This window comes from Homo sapiens, chromosome 11 (genome assembly GCF_000001405.40).
Source record: "Homo sapiens chromosome 11, GRCh38.p14 Primary Assembly".
Classification (NCBI taxonomy): domain Eukaryota; kingdom Metazoa; phylum Chordata; class Mammalia; order Primates; family Hominidae; genus Homo; species Homo sapiens.
The window spans coordinates 133846407-133862982 of NC_000011.10; the positions used below are offsets into that span (position 1 = coordinate 133846407).

At 36.1% G+C, this 16576-nt stretch overlaps 3 annotated features.

Moving 5' to 3' along the window:
- Window positions 7376–8261: an enhancer, noted in NCBI's record as "NANOG-H3K27ac-H3K4me1 hESC enhancer chr11:133723677-133724562 (GRCh37/hg19 assembly coordinates)". NCBI's record gives its function as "activates a minimal SCP1, AML or CMV promoter by ChIP-STARR-seq in naive H9 embryonic stem cells {active_cell/tissue: H9 hESC(naive)}" and the evidence as "EXISTENCE:reporter gene assay evidence [ECO:0000049][PMID:30033119]".
- Window positions 7376–9093: a biological region, named in NCBI's record as "MED14-independent group 3 enhancer GRCh37_chr11:133724195-133725394".
- Window positions 7894–9093: an enhancer, noted in NCBI's record as "MED14-independent group 3 enhancer chr11:133724195-133725394 (GRCh37/hg19 assembly coordinates)". NCBI's record gives its function as "activates an origin of replication core promoter dependent on BRD2, BRD4, P300/CBP and CDK7 cofactors, and independent of MED14, by STARR-seq in HCT116 cells {active_cell/tissue: HCT116}" and the evidence as "EXISTENCE:reporter gene assay evidence [ECO:0000049][PMID:35650434]".

The following is a 16576-nucleotide window of genomic DNA, read 5'->3' on the forward strand; positions in this document are numbered from 1 at the left end:
CTTTCTTCTAACTCTAATATTCCAAAAATTTTCCCACGTTTATTCTTCTCAGGATTATAGAAAACCTTTTATCACTTTCTCCAATTCCCCTGATACAGCCACTACACGTCTTCCCTCTCAACAATTCGCCTCAATTTTATATCATCCCTGACATAGTCAGAATCGGCTAGGCTCTGCTGAGGACTGAGGCAACAAACCAACCTCCAAATCAAAATGTTTATTTCTCACTCTCAAAAGCTCTCGTGCAAGTTGGGTAATTTCAGAGCAATTGTGTGCCATGTGGAGACTCACAGGTCCACATTCAGAGGACACGACCTCCATGACTGCCAAAGCAGGGAAGAGAGCACAGAGAGGAATCAGGTCAGTGTTCCACCTTTCAGCTCAGAGGCTCCTACTTAGAGCTTTTGATCTAGAACTAGTCCTATGGCCCCTACCTAATTCCAAGGAAGACTGGAAATTGTAAAATAGCAGATGAAATTACCTGTCAACATCTCTGTTTCTACAGCTATCCCCTAAAATTTATGTTTTCATCCTTATTGATGTAATTTTATTTTTGAATATTTAAAATATTAATGTGATTCAGAAATCAAAACATGAACAGATACATTCAAGGACGTTCCATCTCTTCCCCATACCTTCAACCTTGTTCTAACTCACTTCAGAAGTAAAATTTTCATTAGTTTCTCGACGACATATCCTGTGCTTATGTTGTCAAAATGAAGCTCATACATAAATCTATTTGCTTTTTGATTACAATGTTATAAAATGCATACAGTAAAATGTACAAATATGCATACAGCGGAGAAAAATTTTTACACACACACACATACACACACACACACACACACACACACACTTACTTGTTTAACCACTGCCCAGATCAAGATAGAAAACATTTTTAGTAGGACATTTGTATTATATTTGATTTGATGCTGTTTAAAATCATGCTGCTATGAAAATTTTTATACTGTACCTATCTTTTGGTTGACATAAGCACTAAATCTTCTGAGTATATACCAAGGATTAGAGTTGCTAGGTCATAGACTTTAGATATGTGTAGCATTCATATACACCAAACAGTACTGCAAAGGGGTTGTATTAATCTACTGCCCATAAGCAATGTATGAAAGTGACAGTTACTCCACGTTTTTTCCAACACTTAGTATTGTCGCTCCTTTAAATTTAGCCAATCTAGTAGAGATGTAGTGGTAACTAATAATACTTTAATTTTCATTTAACCGATTATCAGTGGCATCATGCATGTTTTTATTTGCCTATTGGTCACTTTGGATATTCTTTTTTGTGAAGTGCCTCCTCGAGCTTTGTGCCCTTTCATTGAATTGTTGGTCTTTTTCTTATTGATTTGTAGATTTTTTAATGTATTGTAAATAGTAGTCCTTTATCAATATGTGTTTTGCAATTATTTTATCTCAATTTATGACTTGCCTTTCACTCTTTGAGTACTGTCTTCTGAGGAACAGAAACTCTTAATTTTTAGTCAGTTTTATTGTGATATATTTAAATAATATAAAATTTACCCATCATAATGTATAATTAAATAATTTTTAGTAGATTCAGAGAATTGTGCAACCATCACAACTATTCAATTATAGAACATATCCATCACTCCAGAAATGTTTGTCATGCCCATTTGCAGGCAACCTCGGCTTCCATTCTCAGCCCCACCAATCTGCTTTCTATCTCTAGAGATGTGCCTTTTCTGGACATTTCATACATATGGAACTATACCGTATTATGTCTTGCTTATTTCACCAAGCATGTTTGGGAGGGTCATCTACATACCTTGTAGCATGTGTCAGTAATTCACTCCTTTTTATTATGGGGTATTACCCCATAATACTATTCCACTGCATGGACATACCACATTTTGTTTGTCCATTCACCAGTTGATGTACCTTAAATGGTGTCCAGTTTGGGTCTTCTATGAATAACACTGTAATGAACGTGTTGTTGTTGTTGTTGTTAAATTTTTTAATTTTATCTTTCCATATGTGTTGCGGTACAGGTGGTATTTGGTTACATGAGTAAGTTCTTTAGTGGTGACTTCTGAGATTTTGGTTCACCCATCACCCAAGCAGTGTACACTGCACCACATTTGTAGTCTTTTATCCCTCACCCCCTCCCACTTTTCTCCCCAAGTCCCCGAAGTCCATTGTATTATTCTTATGCCTTTGCATCCTCATAGCTTAGCTCCCACACATCAGCGAGAACATGCAATATTTGGTTTTTCATTCCTGAGTTACTTCACTTAGAATAACAGTCTCCAATCTCATCCAGTTCACTGCAAATGCTATTAATTCATTCCTTTTTATGGCTGAATATTATTCTATCATATATATATATACCACAGTTTCTTTATCCACTCATTGATTGATGGGCATTTGGGTTGCTTCCACGATTTTGCAGTTGTGAATTGTACTGCTATAAATATGCGTGTACAAGTATCTTTTTTGAATAATGACTTTTTTCCTCTGGGTAGGTACCCAGTAGTGGGATTGCTGGATCAAATGGTAGTTCCACTTTTAGTTCTTTAAAGAATCTCCACACTGTTTTCCACAGCGGCTGTGCTAGTTTACATTCCCACCAGCAGTGTAGAAGTGTTCCCTGATCACCGCATGCATGCCAACATCTATTGTTTTTTGATTTTTTGATTCTGGCCATTCTTGCAGGAGTAAGGTGGTATTGAATTGTGGTTTTGATTTGTATTTCCCTGAGCATTAGTGATGTTGAGCATTTTTTCATATGTTTATTGGCCATTTGTGTATCTTCTTCTGAGAATTGTCTATTCATGTCCTTAGCCCACTTTTTGATGGGATTGTTTGAATTTGTTGTAGATTCTTAATATTAGTCCTTTGTCAGACGTATAGATTGTGAAGATTTTCTCCCACTCTGTGGGTTGTCTGTTTATTCTGCTGACTGTTCCTTTTGCCCTGCAAAAGCACGTTAGTTTAATTAGGTCCCAGCTATTTATCTTTGTTTTTATTGCATTTGCTTTTGGGTTCTTGGTCATGAAATCCTTGCCTAAGCCAATGTCTAGAAGGGTTTTTCCAATGTTATCTTCTAGAATTTTTATAGTTTGAGTTCCTAGATTTCAGTCCCTAATCCATCTTGAGTTGATTTTTGTATAAGGTGAGAGATGAGGATCCAGTTTCATTCTCCTACATGTGGCTAGCCAATTATCCCAGCACCATTTGTTGAAAAGGGTATCTTTTCCCCACTTTATGTTTTTGTTTGCTTTGTCAGAGATCAGTTGGCTGTAAGTATTTGGATTTATTTCTGGGTTCCCTATTCTGTTCCATTGGCCTATGTGCCTATTTTTATACCAGTACCACACTGTTTTGGTGACTGTGGCATTACTGTATAGTTTGAAATCAGGTAGTGTAATGCCTCCAGATTTGTTCTTTTTGCTTAGTCTTGCTTTGGCTATGTGGGCTCCTTTTTTGTTTCCATATGAATTTTAGAATTGTTTTTTCTAACTCTTGAAGAATGATTATGGTATTTTAATGGAGATTTCATTGAATTCATAGATTGCTTTTGGCAATGTGGTCATTTTTCACAATATTGATTCTACTCATCTATGAGCATGGGATGTGTTTTCATTTGTAGGTGTCATCTATGATGTCTTTCAGCAGCGTTTTGTAGTTTTCCTTGTAGAGGTCTTTTGACTCCTTTGTTAGGTATATTCCTAAGTATTTTAATTTTTTGCAGCTATTGTAAAAGGGGTTGAGTTCTTGATTTGATTCTCCGCTTGGTCGCTTGGTGTATAAAAGACCTACTGATTTGTGTACATTAATTTTGTATCTGGGAACTTTGCTAAATTCTTTTATCAGTTTTAGAAGCTTTCTGGAAGAGTCCTTAGGGTTTTCAAGGTAAACAGTCATATAATCAGCAAACAGGGACAGTTTGACTTCCTCTTTACCGATTTGGATGCCCTTTATTTCTTTCTCTTGTCTGATTGCTCTTGCCAGGGCTTCTAGTACTATGTTGAAGAGGAATGGTGAGAGTGGGCATCCTTGTCTTGTTCCCATTCTCAGAGGGAATGCTTTCAACTTTTCCCCATTCAGTATTATGTTGGCTGTGGGTTTGTCATAGATGGCTTTTATTACATTAAGGTATGTCCCTTGTATGCCTATTTTGCTGAGGGTTTTAATCATAAAGGGATGCTGGATTTTGTCAAATGCTTTTTCTGCATCTATTAAGATGATCATATGATTTTTGTTTTTAATTCTGTTTATGTGGTGGATCACATTTATTGACTTGCTTATGTTAAACCATCCCCGCATCCCTGGTATGAAACCCTTTTGATCATGGTGGATTACCTTTTTGATATGCTGTTGGATTTTGTAGTTAGCATTTTGTTAAGGATTTTAGCATCTATGTTCATCAAGGGTATCAGTCTGTAGTTTTCTTTTTTGGTTGTGTCCTTTCCTTGTTTTGGTATTAGGGTGATGCTGGCTTCATAGAATGAATTAGGGAGGGTTCTTTCTTTCTCTGTCTTGTGGAATAGTGTCAAAACAATTGGTACCAGTTCTTCTTTGAATGTCTGGTAGAATTCTGCTGTGACTCCATCTGGTCCTGGACTCTTTTTGTTGGTAATTTTTTAATTACCGTTTCAATCTTGCTGCTTGTTATTGGTCTGTTCAGGTTATCTAATTCTTCCTGATTTAAGCTTTGAGAGTTATATTTTTCCAGGAATTTATCCATCTCTTCTAGGTTTTCTACTTTATCTGCATAAAGGTGTTCATAGTAGCCTTAAATGATCTTTTGTATTTCAGTGGTGTCAGTTGTAATATCTCCTGTTTCATTTCTTAGTGAGATTATTTGGATTTTCTCTCTTCTTGTCTTGGTTAATCTTGTTTTGTCTAAGAAAAGAAGAGAGAAAATCCAAATGGTCTATCAATTTTATTTATCTTTTCAAAGATAAATCCAAATGATCTATCAATTTTATTTATCTTTTCAAAGAACCAGCTTTTGTTTCATTTGTCTTTTGTATTTTTTTGTTTGTTTGTTTCAATTTCATTTAGTTCTGCTCTGATCTTGGTTATTTCCTTTCTTCTCCTGGGTTTGGGTTAGGTTTGTTCCTGCTTCTCTAGTTCTTTGAGGTATGACCTTAGATTGTCTGTTTGTGCACTTTCAGACTTTTTGATGTAGGCGTTTAGGGCTATGAACTTTCCTCTTAGCACTGCCTCAGCTGTATCCCAGAGGTTTTGATTGGTTGTGTCATTATTGTCATTCAGTTTGAAGACATTTTTAATTTCCATCTTGATTTTGTTTTTGACCCAATGCTCACTCAGAAGGAGGTTATTTAATTTCCGTGTATTTGCATGGTTCTGAGGGTTCCTTTTGGAGTTGATTTCCAGTTTTATTCCACTGTGGTCTGAGAGAGTGCTTGATATAATTTCAATTTTCTTAAAATTATTGAGGCTCATTTTATGATCTATCATATGGCCTGTCTTGGAGAAAGTCCCATGCACTGTTTAATAGAATGTGTATTCTGCAGTTGCTGGATAAAATATTCTGTATATATCTGTTAAGTCCATTTGTTCCAAGGTATAGTTTAAGTCCATTGTTTCTGCATTGATTTTCTGTCTTGATGACCTGTCTAGTGCTGTCAGTGGAGTATTGAAGTCCCCCACTATTATTGTGTTGCTGTCTGTCTCATTTATTAGGTCTATTAGTAATCATTTTATAAAGTTGGAAGCTCCAGTGTTAGGTGCATATATGTTTAGGACTGTGATATTTTCCTGTTGGACATGGCCTTTTACCATTACATAATGTCCCTCTTTGTCTCTCTTAACTGTTATTGCTTTAAAGTTTGTTTTGTCTGATATAAGAATAGACACCCCTGCTCGCTTTTGGTGTCCATTTGCATGAAATGCCTTTTTCCACCCCTTTACTTTATGTGAGTCTTTATGTGTTAGGTGAGTCTCCTGAAGGCAGCAGATAGTTTGGTTGGTGAGTTCTTATCCATTCTGTGGTTCTGTATCTTTTAAGTGGAGCATTTAGGCCATTTACATTCAAAGTTAGTATTGAAATGTGAGGTACTGTTGCATTCATCATGCTCTTTGTTGCCTTTGTACTTTGCTTTGTTTTTTGTATTTCGTTTTTGCTTTTTAACTTATATTTTGTTTTATAGGTCCTGTGTGATTTATGCTTTAAAGAGGTTATGATTTGATGTGTTTCCAGGATTTGTTTAAAGATTTAGAGCTTGTTTTAGCAGTTCTTGTAGCAGTGGCTTGGTAATGGAGAATTCTCTCAGCAGTTGTTTATCTAAAAATGACTGTATCTTTCCCTCAAATTTGATGTTTAGTTTTGCTGGATACAAAATTCTTGGCTGATAATCGTTTTGTTTGAGGAAGCTGAAAATAGGGCCCCAATTCCTTCTAGCTTGTAGGGTTTCTGCTGAGAAATCTGCTATTAATCTGATAGGTTTTCCTTTATAGGTTGGTGCTTCTGTCTCACAGCTCTTAGGATTCTTTTCTTCATTTTAACTTTGGATAACCTGATGACAATGTGCCTAGGCAAAGATCTTTTTGCAATGAATTTCCCAGGTGTTCTTTGTGCTTCTTTCTTTATTTATTTATTTTTGAGATGGAGTGTCACTCTGTCGCCCAGGATAGAGGGCAGTGGCATGGTCTCAGCTCACTGCAACCACCACCTCCCAGGTTCAAGCAATTCTGCCTCAGCCTCCCAAGTAGTTGGGATTACAGGTGAATGCCCCCCAAGCCCAGCTAATTTATTTATTTGTTTGTTTATTTTTTATTTATTTTATTTTTTGTATTTCTAATAGAGATGGGGTTTCACCATGTTGGCAAGGCTGATCTTGAACTCCTGACCTCATATGATCCACCTGCCTCAGCCTCCCAAAGTGCTGGGATTACAGGTGTGAGCCACCGTCCCTGGCCTCTTTGTGCTTCTTATATTTGCCTGTCTATGTCTCTAGCAAAGCTAGGGAAGTTTTCCTCGATTACTCCCCCAAATATGTTTTCTAAGCTTTTAGAATTGTCTTCTTTCTCAGGTACATTGATTATTCTTAGGTTTGGTCGTTTAACATAAACCCAGGCTTCTTGGGTTTATGTTCATATTTTCTTATTCTTTTTTCTTTGTCTTGGTTGAATTGGGTTAATTTGAAGACCTTGTCTTCCAGCTCTGAATTTCTTTCTGCTACTTGTTCAATTCTATTGCTGAGACTTTCCAGAGCATTTAGCAATTCTAAAAGTATGTCCAAGGTTTCCTGAATTTCTTATTGTTTTTTCTTTAAGCTATCTATTTCCTTGAATATTTCTCCCTTCACTTCTTGGGTTTCCTTGCATTGGGCTTCACCTTTCTCTGTTCCCTCCCTGATTAGCTTAATAACTGACCTCCTGAATTCTTTTTCAGGTAAATCAGGGGTTTCTTCTTGGTTTGGATCCATTACTGGTGAGCTAGTGTGATTTTGGGGGGATGTTGAAGAACCTTGTTTTGTCATATTACCAGGGTTGGTTTTCTGGTTCCTTCTCATTCGGGTAGGCTCTGTCAGAGGGAAGGTCTAGGGCTGAAGGCTGTTGTTCAGATTTTTTCATCCCATGGGGTGTTCCCTTGATGTAGTGCTCTCCCCCTTTTCCCGTGGATGTGGCTTCCTGTGAGCCAAACTGCAGTGATTGTTGTCTGTCTTCTGGGTCTAGCTATCCAGCAAGTCTACCTGGCTCCAGGCTGATACTGGGGGTTGTCTGCACAGAGTCCTGTAATGTGAACCATCTATGGGCCTCTCAGCTGTGGATACCAGCGCCTGTTCCAGTGGAGGTGGCAGAGGGTGCAATGGACTCCGTGAGGGTCCTTAGCTTTGGTGGTTTAATGCTCTGTTTTTGTGCTGCCTGGTCTCCTGCCAGAAGATGCTGCTTTCCAGAATGCATCAGCTGTAGTAGTGTGGAGAGGGACCAACGGTGGGCAGGGCCCTAGAACTCCCAAGATTGTATGCCCTTTGTCTTCCGCTACCAGGGTGCGTAGGGAAGGACCATCAGGTGCGGGCAGGGCTAGGCATGTCTGAGCTCAGACTCTCCTTGGGTGGGTCTTGCTGCGGCTGCTGTGGGGACGGGAGTGAGATTCCCAGGTCACTGGAGTTGTGTACTTAGGAGGATTATGGCTGCCTCTGCTGAGTCATGCAGGTTGTCTGGGAAGTGGGGGAAAGCCAGCAGTCACAGGCGTCACCCAGCTCCCACAGAATCTGAAAGACTAGTCTCATTCACACTGTGCCCTCTGCAAGAGCCCTGAGTCTTTTTCCAGTCAGAGGGCGATACGGCTTGAAAACCTGCCCGGGGCTTTCCGCCTCCCAGCTGTGAAAGAAAAGGGCTTTAGTTATTCCCCACCATGAAGTCTGCAAGCCATATTCCCGCCCTCCTCCGTGTTCTCACCAGGAGGCTTCTCACCCCATTCAAACTGTTACAAAGTTCAGCTAGAGAATTCCTTCTCCCTGTGGAGTTTTACCCCCTGCTCCTCCAGCCACTCTCCTGATGGATCCCTGTGGTGCCAGGCAGGAATGGGCTGCTTGGGGAGCCAGCAAGCTCCCAGGGCCTTCCTGCTGCTTTCTCTACCCCTGTATTTCACTCAGCTGGGCTCTCTAACTTGACTCAGCTCCAGATAAAGTCAGAAACTTCTCCCACAAACAGTCCTTCAGCTTCTCCAGTGGGGGTGTGTGTTCAGGAGAGGAGGGTCTCCCTTTCCCACTTCCACACTCGGGGCACTCACGGTATTTGGGGTGTCTCCTGGGTCCTGCAGGAGAAGTCCACTTGCTTCAGAGGGTCTGTGGGTCCTCTCAGGACTGCTTGTTTGTTCTTGCAGTCAATCTGGAGCTAAAATTCATAATGCAGGCCTCCACATGCCGCTCTGCTGGAACTGCAATCTAGTCCTCCTCCCATGCACCGTAATCTGTGATGAACATCTGAAAAAATATTATGTGGAATGGAAATATATTTTGTTTCTCTTGGGTAAATTCCTAGGACTAGATTGATAACTTTATGCTTAACATGTTTTACTTTTTCTTAACAGCTTTATTGAGACATAATTCATATTCCATAAAATTCACCCATTTAAAATATACAATTCAATAGTTTTTAGTATACTCACTGGATGGATGTACAACCATCACCTCGACCTAATTTTAGAATATTTTTGTCACTCCAAAAATGAAACCCCGTACCCATCAGTAGTCAAACCCTATTTTCCCCCAACCCTCTCTCTCAGCACTAGGCCACCACTAATCTACTTTGTCTCTACAGACTTGCTTATTCTGGACATTTCATATGAATAGAATCATGCAATATCTGGTCTTTTGTGACTGGCTTCTTTAACTGAAGATAATGTTTTTGAGGGTCATCCACATTATAGCAGATATCAGCAATTCATTCCTTGTTACTGCAGTGTAGTATTCCATTATATGAATGTGTCACATTTTGTTTATCCATTCATCAGCTGATGGACATTTGGATTATCTCTATAAACAGAGGCAATATGAATAATGCTCCTATGAACATTTGTGTACAGGTTTTTGTATGGACATATGTTTTCATTCTCTTGGGTTTACATCTAGCCGTAGAATTCCCAGGTCATATGGTAACCCTATGTTTAACATTTTGAGGTACCGTCAAAATGTTCTTTAAATGTCTGAATCATTTTACTTTCCCATCATCAATGTGTGAGGGTTTTGATCTCTCCACATTCTTGCCAGCATTATTACCTGTCATTTTGATTTTAGCCATCCTAGTGAGTGTGAAGTGGTATCTCACTGTGGTTTTGATTTGTCTCTCTCTAATGATTAATGATGCTGAGTATCTTTTCCTGTGATTATTAGCCATTTGTACCTCTTCTTTGGATAAATATATACTTAAATCCTTTTCCATTTTATAACTGGATTATTTGTCTTTTATTGTAGAGTTGTTAGAATTTTTATGTATCCCTTGTACAAGTGTCTTATCAGATATATGATTACAGATATTTTCTCCCATTCTGTGGGTTGCCTTTTCACTTTCTTAACTGTGTCATTTTAAGCACAGAAATTTTGAATTTTTATGAAGCCCAATTTATCTCTTTTTATTTTGTTTCTTGTACTTTTGGTGTCAAATCTAAGAAACCGTTGCCCAGCCTGTGACCATAAAGATTTAATCCTCTGTTTCTTCGAAGGGTTTAATAGTTGTAGCTCTTGTGTTTATGTCTATGATTCATTTTTAGTTAATTATTATAAATAGTGTGAGGTAGAGGACCCAACTTCATTCTTTTGCATGTAGATATCCAGTTGTCCCCACCCCATTTATTAAAAAGAATATTCTTTTTCCACTGAATTGTCTTGTCATCCTTGTCAAAAATCAAATTATTATAAATGTAAGAGTTTACTTCTGGACTGTCAATTAACCAATGTGTCTATCCTTATGCCAGTACCACACTGTCTTGATTATTGTAGCTTTATAGTATGCTTTAACATACTACAAAGTTTGAGTTCTCCAACTTTGTTCTTTTTCAAGATTGTTTTAGCTATTGTGGGATCCTCAAATTTCCATATGAATTTTAGAATATAAAAAAAGCCTACTGGCATTTTAATAGGGGTTTATTGATCAGTTTGGGGAGTACTGCCCTTTTGACAATATTAAGTCTTCCATCCATAAACATCTATTTCTATTTATTTAGATCCTAAATTTCTTACAACAAAGTTTTGTCATTTTCAGTGTGCAAGTCTTGCACTTCATTTGTTATTATTCTTAGGTATTTATCTTTTTAGTGCTAGGGTAAGTGGAATTTTTTTCTTAATTTCATTTTGGGTTTTTCATTGCTAGTGTATAGAGAAGTATAGTGGATTTTTGAATAATAATCTTGTATCCCACAACTTTGCTGAACTCATTTCTTGTAATAGTTTTTAGTGAATTCCTTAGAATTTTTTATGTACAAGATCAGGTCGTCTGCAAATAGTTTTCCATCTCCCTTTCCAATCTGAATGCCTTTCATTTATTTTTCTTGCCTAATTGTCCTGGCTATACATTATTCAATAGAACTGAAGGAACAAACATCTTTTTCTTGCTCCTGGCTCCTGATTTTAGGAGAAAAGTATAGTCTTTCACCATTAAGGATAGTGTTAGTTGAGAATTTTTTCATAGATGCTTTTTATCAGGTTTATAAAGTTCACTTTTTATTCCTACTTTTTGGAGTGTTTTAATAATCAAAAAGCACTGGATTTTGTCCAATGCTTCTTCTGCATTTATTGAGGTGAACCATGTGGTTGTGGCTTTTACTCTATCAATATTGTGTACTACATTAGTTTTTGATTTTCAAATGTTAAACCAACTCCAGGGATAATCCCACTTGGTAATAAAGTATGATCCTTTTTATATGTGCTGAATTCAGTTTGCTATTATTTGTTGAGAATTTTTACATCTATAAGAGATATTGGGCAATAGTTTATTTTCTTTTGATGTCCTTGTCTGGTTTTGGTAGCAGGGTTTTGTAGCATTCAATTCCTCTTGATTTTTTAAACCTCATAGAATGAGTTGGAATACTTTCTTTTTTCTTCTGTTTTTTGGAAGAGTCTGTAAAAGTATGAATAGTAGTTCCCCTTTAAATATTTGATACACATTTAACTTTTTAAGAAATGTCAAACTTTTTTCTGTAATATTTTACATTTTTATCAGCAAGATATGAAGGCTCAAGTTTCTCCAGATCCTCACAACATTTGTATTATCTCTTTTTATAATAGACATTCTAGTTGGTGTGTAAAGAGGTATATCATCTGCCTTAACTTGCATTTTTCTGATAGCTTATAATATTGATAATCTGTTTATATTACATTAGATAGCTAATAAACTATATATTAGATATCACACCAACATATATATAACATATATATGTTTTATATATATCTAAATCTTTATATATAGATTTTGATATATATGATATATATTATATTAGATAGCTAATAAACTATATATTAGATATATATTAGATATATAGATATTAGATATTATACCAACATATATATAATTTATATATATTTTATATATCTCTAAATCTTTTTATACATATAACATGTATAAAGATTTTTATATATCATTATATATAAAGATTTTGATATATATGATATATATACACACACAAAACTTATATATATGTTATATATATAAAAGTTGATATAATATCCAAATATTTATTTTTTTAAAAAATTAAGTTGTCTTCTTTTTATTGAGTATTGTGTTCTTTACATATCCTGAATGCAAGTCCCTTATCAAATTATGATTTGCAAGTACTTTCTCCCAATCTCTTGCTTGTCTTTCAATTTCCTAATGTTTTCTTTTGAAGGCAAAAAGGTTTTAATTTTAATGAATTCAAATATTTTTTCAAGTATGAAATATGTTTTTGGCATCATATCTAAGAAGTCTGCTCAATCTAAGGTCATGAAGAATATTTTGTTTTCTTCTAAAAGTTTTATCATTTTATAATAGCCTAAATGTAATTTAGGCGTATGATCTATTTGAGTTGTTTTTGTGGATATGCTGTAGGTAAAGATCTGTATATGCTTTTTCTTATAAACATATAATTATACCAGCACCATTTGTAGAAAAGACTGGTTTTTGCCCCCACTGAATTGCCTTGGCACCTTTGTTAAAAATTAAATTGACCTTAAGAGTTTATTCTTTTGTGCATTCTCAGTTTTACTTCATTGGGCTTATCCTTTCACCAGCACCACATCGTCTGATAATTATATCTTGGTAGTAAATTTGAGATCAAGTAGTATAAATCTTTTTTCCCAAAACTTTTCTGGCTATTCTAATTTCTTTGCATTTCCATGGAAATTTTAGGATAATTTTGCTAATTTCTACCAAAAAACGCCTGCTGGAATTTTGATAGGCATTGTTTTGAAGCTATAGCTCAACTCACCTAGACTGTCTAATTTGTTGATTTAAAGTTATTTGCAGCATTTCCACAGAAACTTTTTAATATCTATAGTGTTGGTGGTCACGTCCTGTCTTTCAGTCCTAATTTTAGTAATTTGTTATGTTCTCTAGGTTTCCTTGCTCATCCTGTGTAGAGGTGTGTGAAATTTTAAAAAGTCTTTTCAAAGACCCACCTTTGGTTTACATTGAAATTCCCTATTTGTTTTTCCTCTGTTATTTTTCTGTTTTCTATTTCATTGTTCCTAATTCTTGTTTGTTTTTTCTTTCTTTACTTTTGTTTGTCTTGGGCTTCTTGCTCTTCTTTTTCTAGTTCATTAGGTGGAAGTTTAGATTATTGATTTGAGATCTTCCTTTCTTTCTAATGTAGGTGTTAAATATAAATTTCCCTCTAAACATAGCTTTAGTTGTATTCTGTAAGTTGCATATTCTTGTAAACTCAATCCAAAATACCTTGATTTATTTTACCAAGGGTTATCTAGAAGTACAATATTACACGCTTATCCACAGGGAATATGTTCCAAGACCCCCATGGCTGCCTGAACCCGCAGATAGTACCAAACCCAATTCCTGTCCATCAGTACACGTCCTGTCTTCCACTTACAAACATAATGCCTTTTTCATCTTAACTAAGCACTTAGGCACTGTGGCCATAGCTTCTGCAGTTTGAGATGTGTCAGAAAAACTAGGATGAATTTATTTTTCTTTCATCACAATTTCATGGACAGAAGATTTGTTATTACCATAAATCTCAGCAACCTTAGCATATAGTTTTTTTTTCTTTCCTTATTGAGAACTTTCACCTTTTCACTTAAAGGAAGCACTTTATAGCTTCTCTTAGGTGTATCTGAATTGCCAGCATTACTACTCTTGTGCTTTGGTCCATAAATTAAAATAAGTGTTACTTGAACCCAAGTACGGTGACACTGGGACAGTCAAACTGATAACCGAGAGGGCAGCCAAGCGGGTGGGTAACAGGGGGTAAGGTAGATACCATAGAGACGCTGGACGTAGGAATGATTCATTTCCCAGGAGGGACAGAGCAGGATTTCATCACGCTACTCAAAACTTATGAATTGTCTATTTCTGGAATTTTCCATTTACTATTTCAGACTGCAGGTCTGAAATATTCTTTCATGTATGAAATATGTTTTTGGCATCACATCTAAAAACTCTGCTCAATCTAAGGTCATGAAGAATATTTTGTTTTCTTCTAAAAATTTTATCATTTTATAATAGTTCGTACATTTAGGCGTATGATCTATTTGAGTTGAGTTGTCTGTCAAACCACAGAAAGTGAAAGCAAGGATAAGGAGGGATCCCTGAATGTTGTTTAACTTACAAATATTTGAAGATTTCCCAGATTTCTCCCCACTGTTGATGTCTAGTTTAATCCTTTTGTGTTCAGAGAATATACTTTTTTATTTCATTTCTTTTCAATTTGTTGAGATTTGATAGTATAGCACATGAACTGTCTTAGAGAAGATTTCAAGTATACTCACAAGAATATATATTCTGCTCTCATTGGTTGATTCAAGTGTTCTCTTGCTGTCAGATGAAGCTGGTCAATACTGTTGTTCAAGTCTTCTATTCATTTAATGATTTTCTGTCTACTTTTTCTTTCAGTTATTGAAAGTCAAGTTTTTAGATCTCTAACTTGCTGAATGGTTTATTTTTCCTTCCAATTCAGTCAGTTATTGCTTCAAATATTTGATGGCTCTCTTGTTTCAGGCATAGACATTTACAATTGTTATATTTTCCTTTTGTCATTGTGAAATATCACTTTGTCTCTAGAAATATTTTTGTCTTAAAATATATTCTGCTATTAATATAGCCACTCCAGCTCTCTTACGGTTATTGTTTGTATGGCATATATTTTCCCCGTTTTATTTTTAAATTCTTATGTCTTTGAAGCTAAAATATGCCTCTTATAGACAGCATAGAGTAGGATCTTCTTTTTTCATCCAGTCTAACAATCTCCACCTTTTGATTATTGAGTCCATTCACATATGTTATTATTGACATGGTTAAATTTACATTTGCTGTTTTACTATGTGTTTTCTATATGTCTCATGAGTTTTTTGTTCCTCGTTCTTTATTTATTATATTCTTTTGTATCAAACAGGTACTTTTAGTGTAATATTTAATTCCTCTTGATTTTTTAAACTGTATATTTGTACTTTTGGTAGTGTCAGGCTAAGGGATTACAATATACATCTTAATTAATTACAGACTACATCAAAGTAATTACAGTCTACATCAAAATAACTTAATTCTGGTAAATTATGGAAACCCTGTTCCAGTACACCTTCATCCCCTCAGCTTCCTTTGTACAATTATCATATGTATTAAAGCTATATTATGTTGTAAATCCAATAATACAATGTTATAATAACTGCTTTATGTAATCTTAGAAAAGAAGTTAAGAGAAGTGAATATATATTTATATAGACTTCTTTTTATTATTTTTAACTCTGGTAAAATAAAGTAACATACAATTCCCCATATTAACCATCTCTGAATGTACAGCTCAGCCTTATGAAGGACATTCACATTGGTGTGCAACAACTGCCATCATCCGTTTCCAGGACTTTTTTCATTTCACAAAACTAAAATTCTACCATTAAACAATAACTCCCCATTCTCCCTACCCTCGGCCCCTAGCAACCACAATTTTACATTCTTTCACTATGAGGTTAACTATTCTAGGTAGCCTACGTAAGTAGAATCATGCAGTATTTTTTTGTGGCTGACTTATTTTACTTAGCATAATGTCTTCAAAGTTCATCCATGTGGTAGCATATTTTAGAATTTCCTTTCACTTTTAGGGCTGAATTATATTCCACTGTGTACACCACATGTTTAAAATCCATGTATCCATTGATGAACATGTGGGTCGCTTTCACCTTCTGGCTTTGCAGATAATGCTGCTGTGAACATAGTTGTACGTGTAGCTCCTCAAGATCCTGCTTCCAGTTCTTTCGGGTACAAAACCAGATGTGGAATTTCTGATTCACTTGATAATTTCATTTTTAAAAAAAAATTGTTCAGCGACAGGGTCTCACTCAGTTGCCCAGGCTAGAATGCAGTGGCATGATCATAGCTCACTGCAGCCTCAACCTCCTGGGATCAAGTGATCCTCCCACCTCAGCCTCCTGAGTAGCTGGGACCACAGGCATGCACCACCATGCCCAGCTGGGTTTTTTTATTATTATTATTTTGTAGAGACAGGATCTTGCTATGTCTCCCAAGCTGGTCTTGAACTCCTGGCCTCAAGTGACCCTCCTGCCTTGGCCTCCCAAAGTGCTTGGATTACAGGCATGAGCCACTGCATCCAGACTCCTTTTTCACTGTTTGAGGAACCACCGTACTGTTTTCCACAGCAGCTGCACCATTGTACATTTCTACTAACAGTGTGCAAGGGTTCCAGTTTCTCCACATTCTCACTAACATTTATTGTTTTCTGTTGTTCTGAATATGTATATAGTAGCCATTCTAATGGGTATAAGGTAGTATTTCATTGTGGTTTTGATATGCTTTTCACTAATGACTAGTGATGTTGTGCTTCTTTCCATGTGCTTATTATCCATTTGTGTATCTCCTTGAAAGAACCATCTATTAAGTTCTTTGTACATTTTTTAACCAAG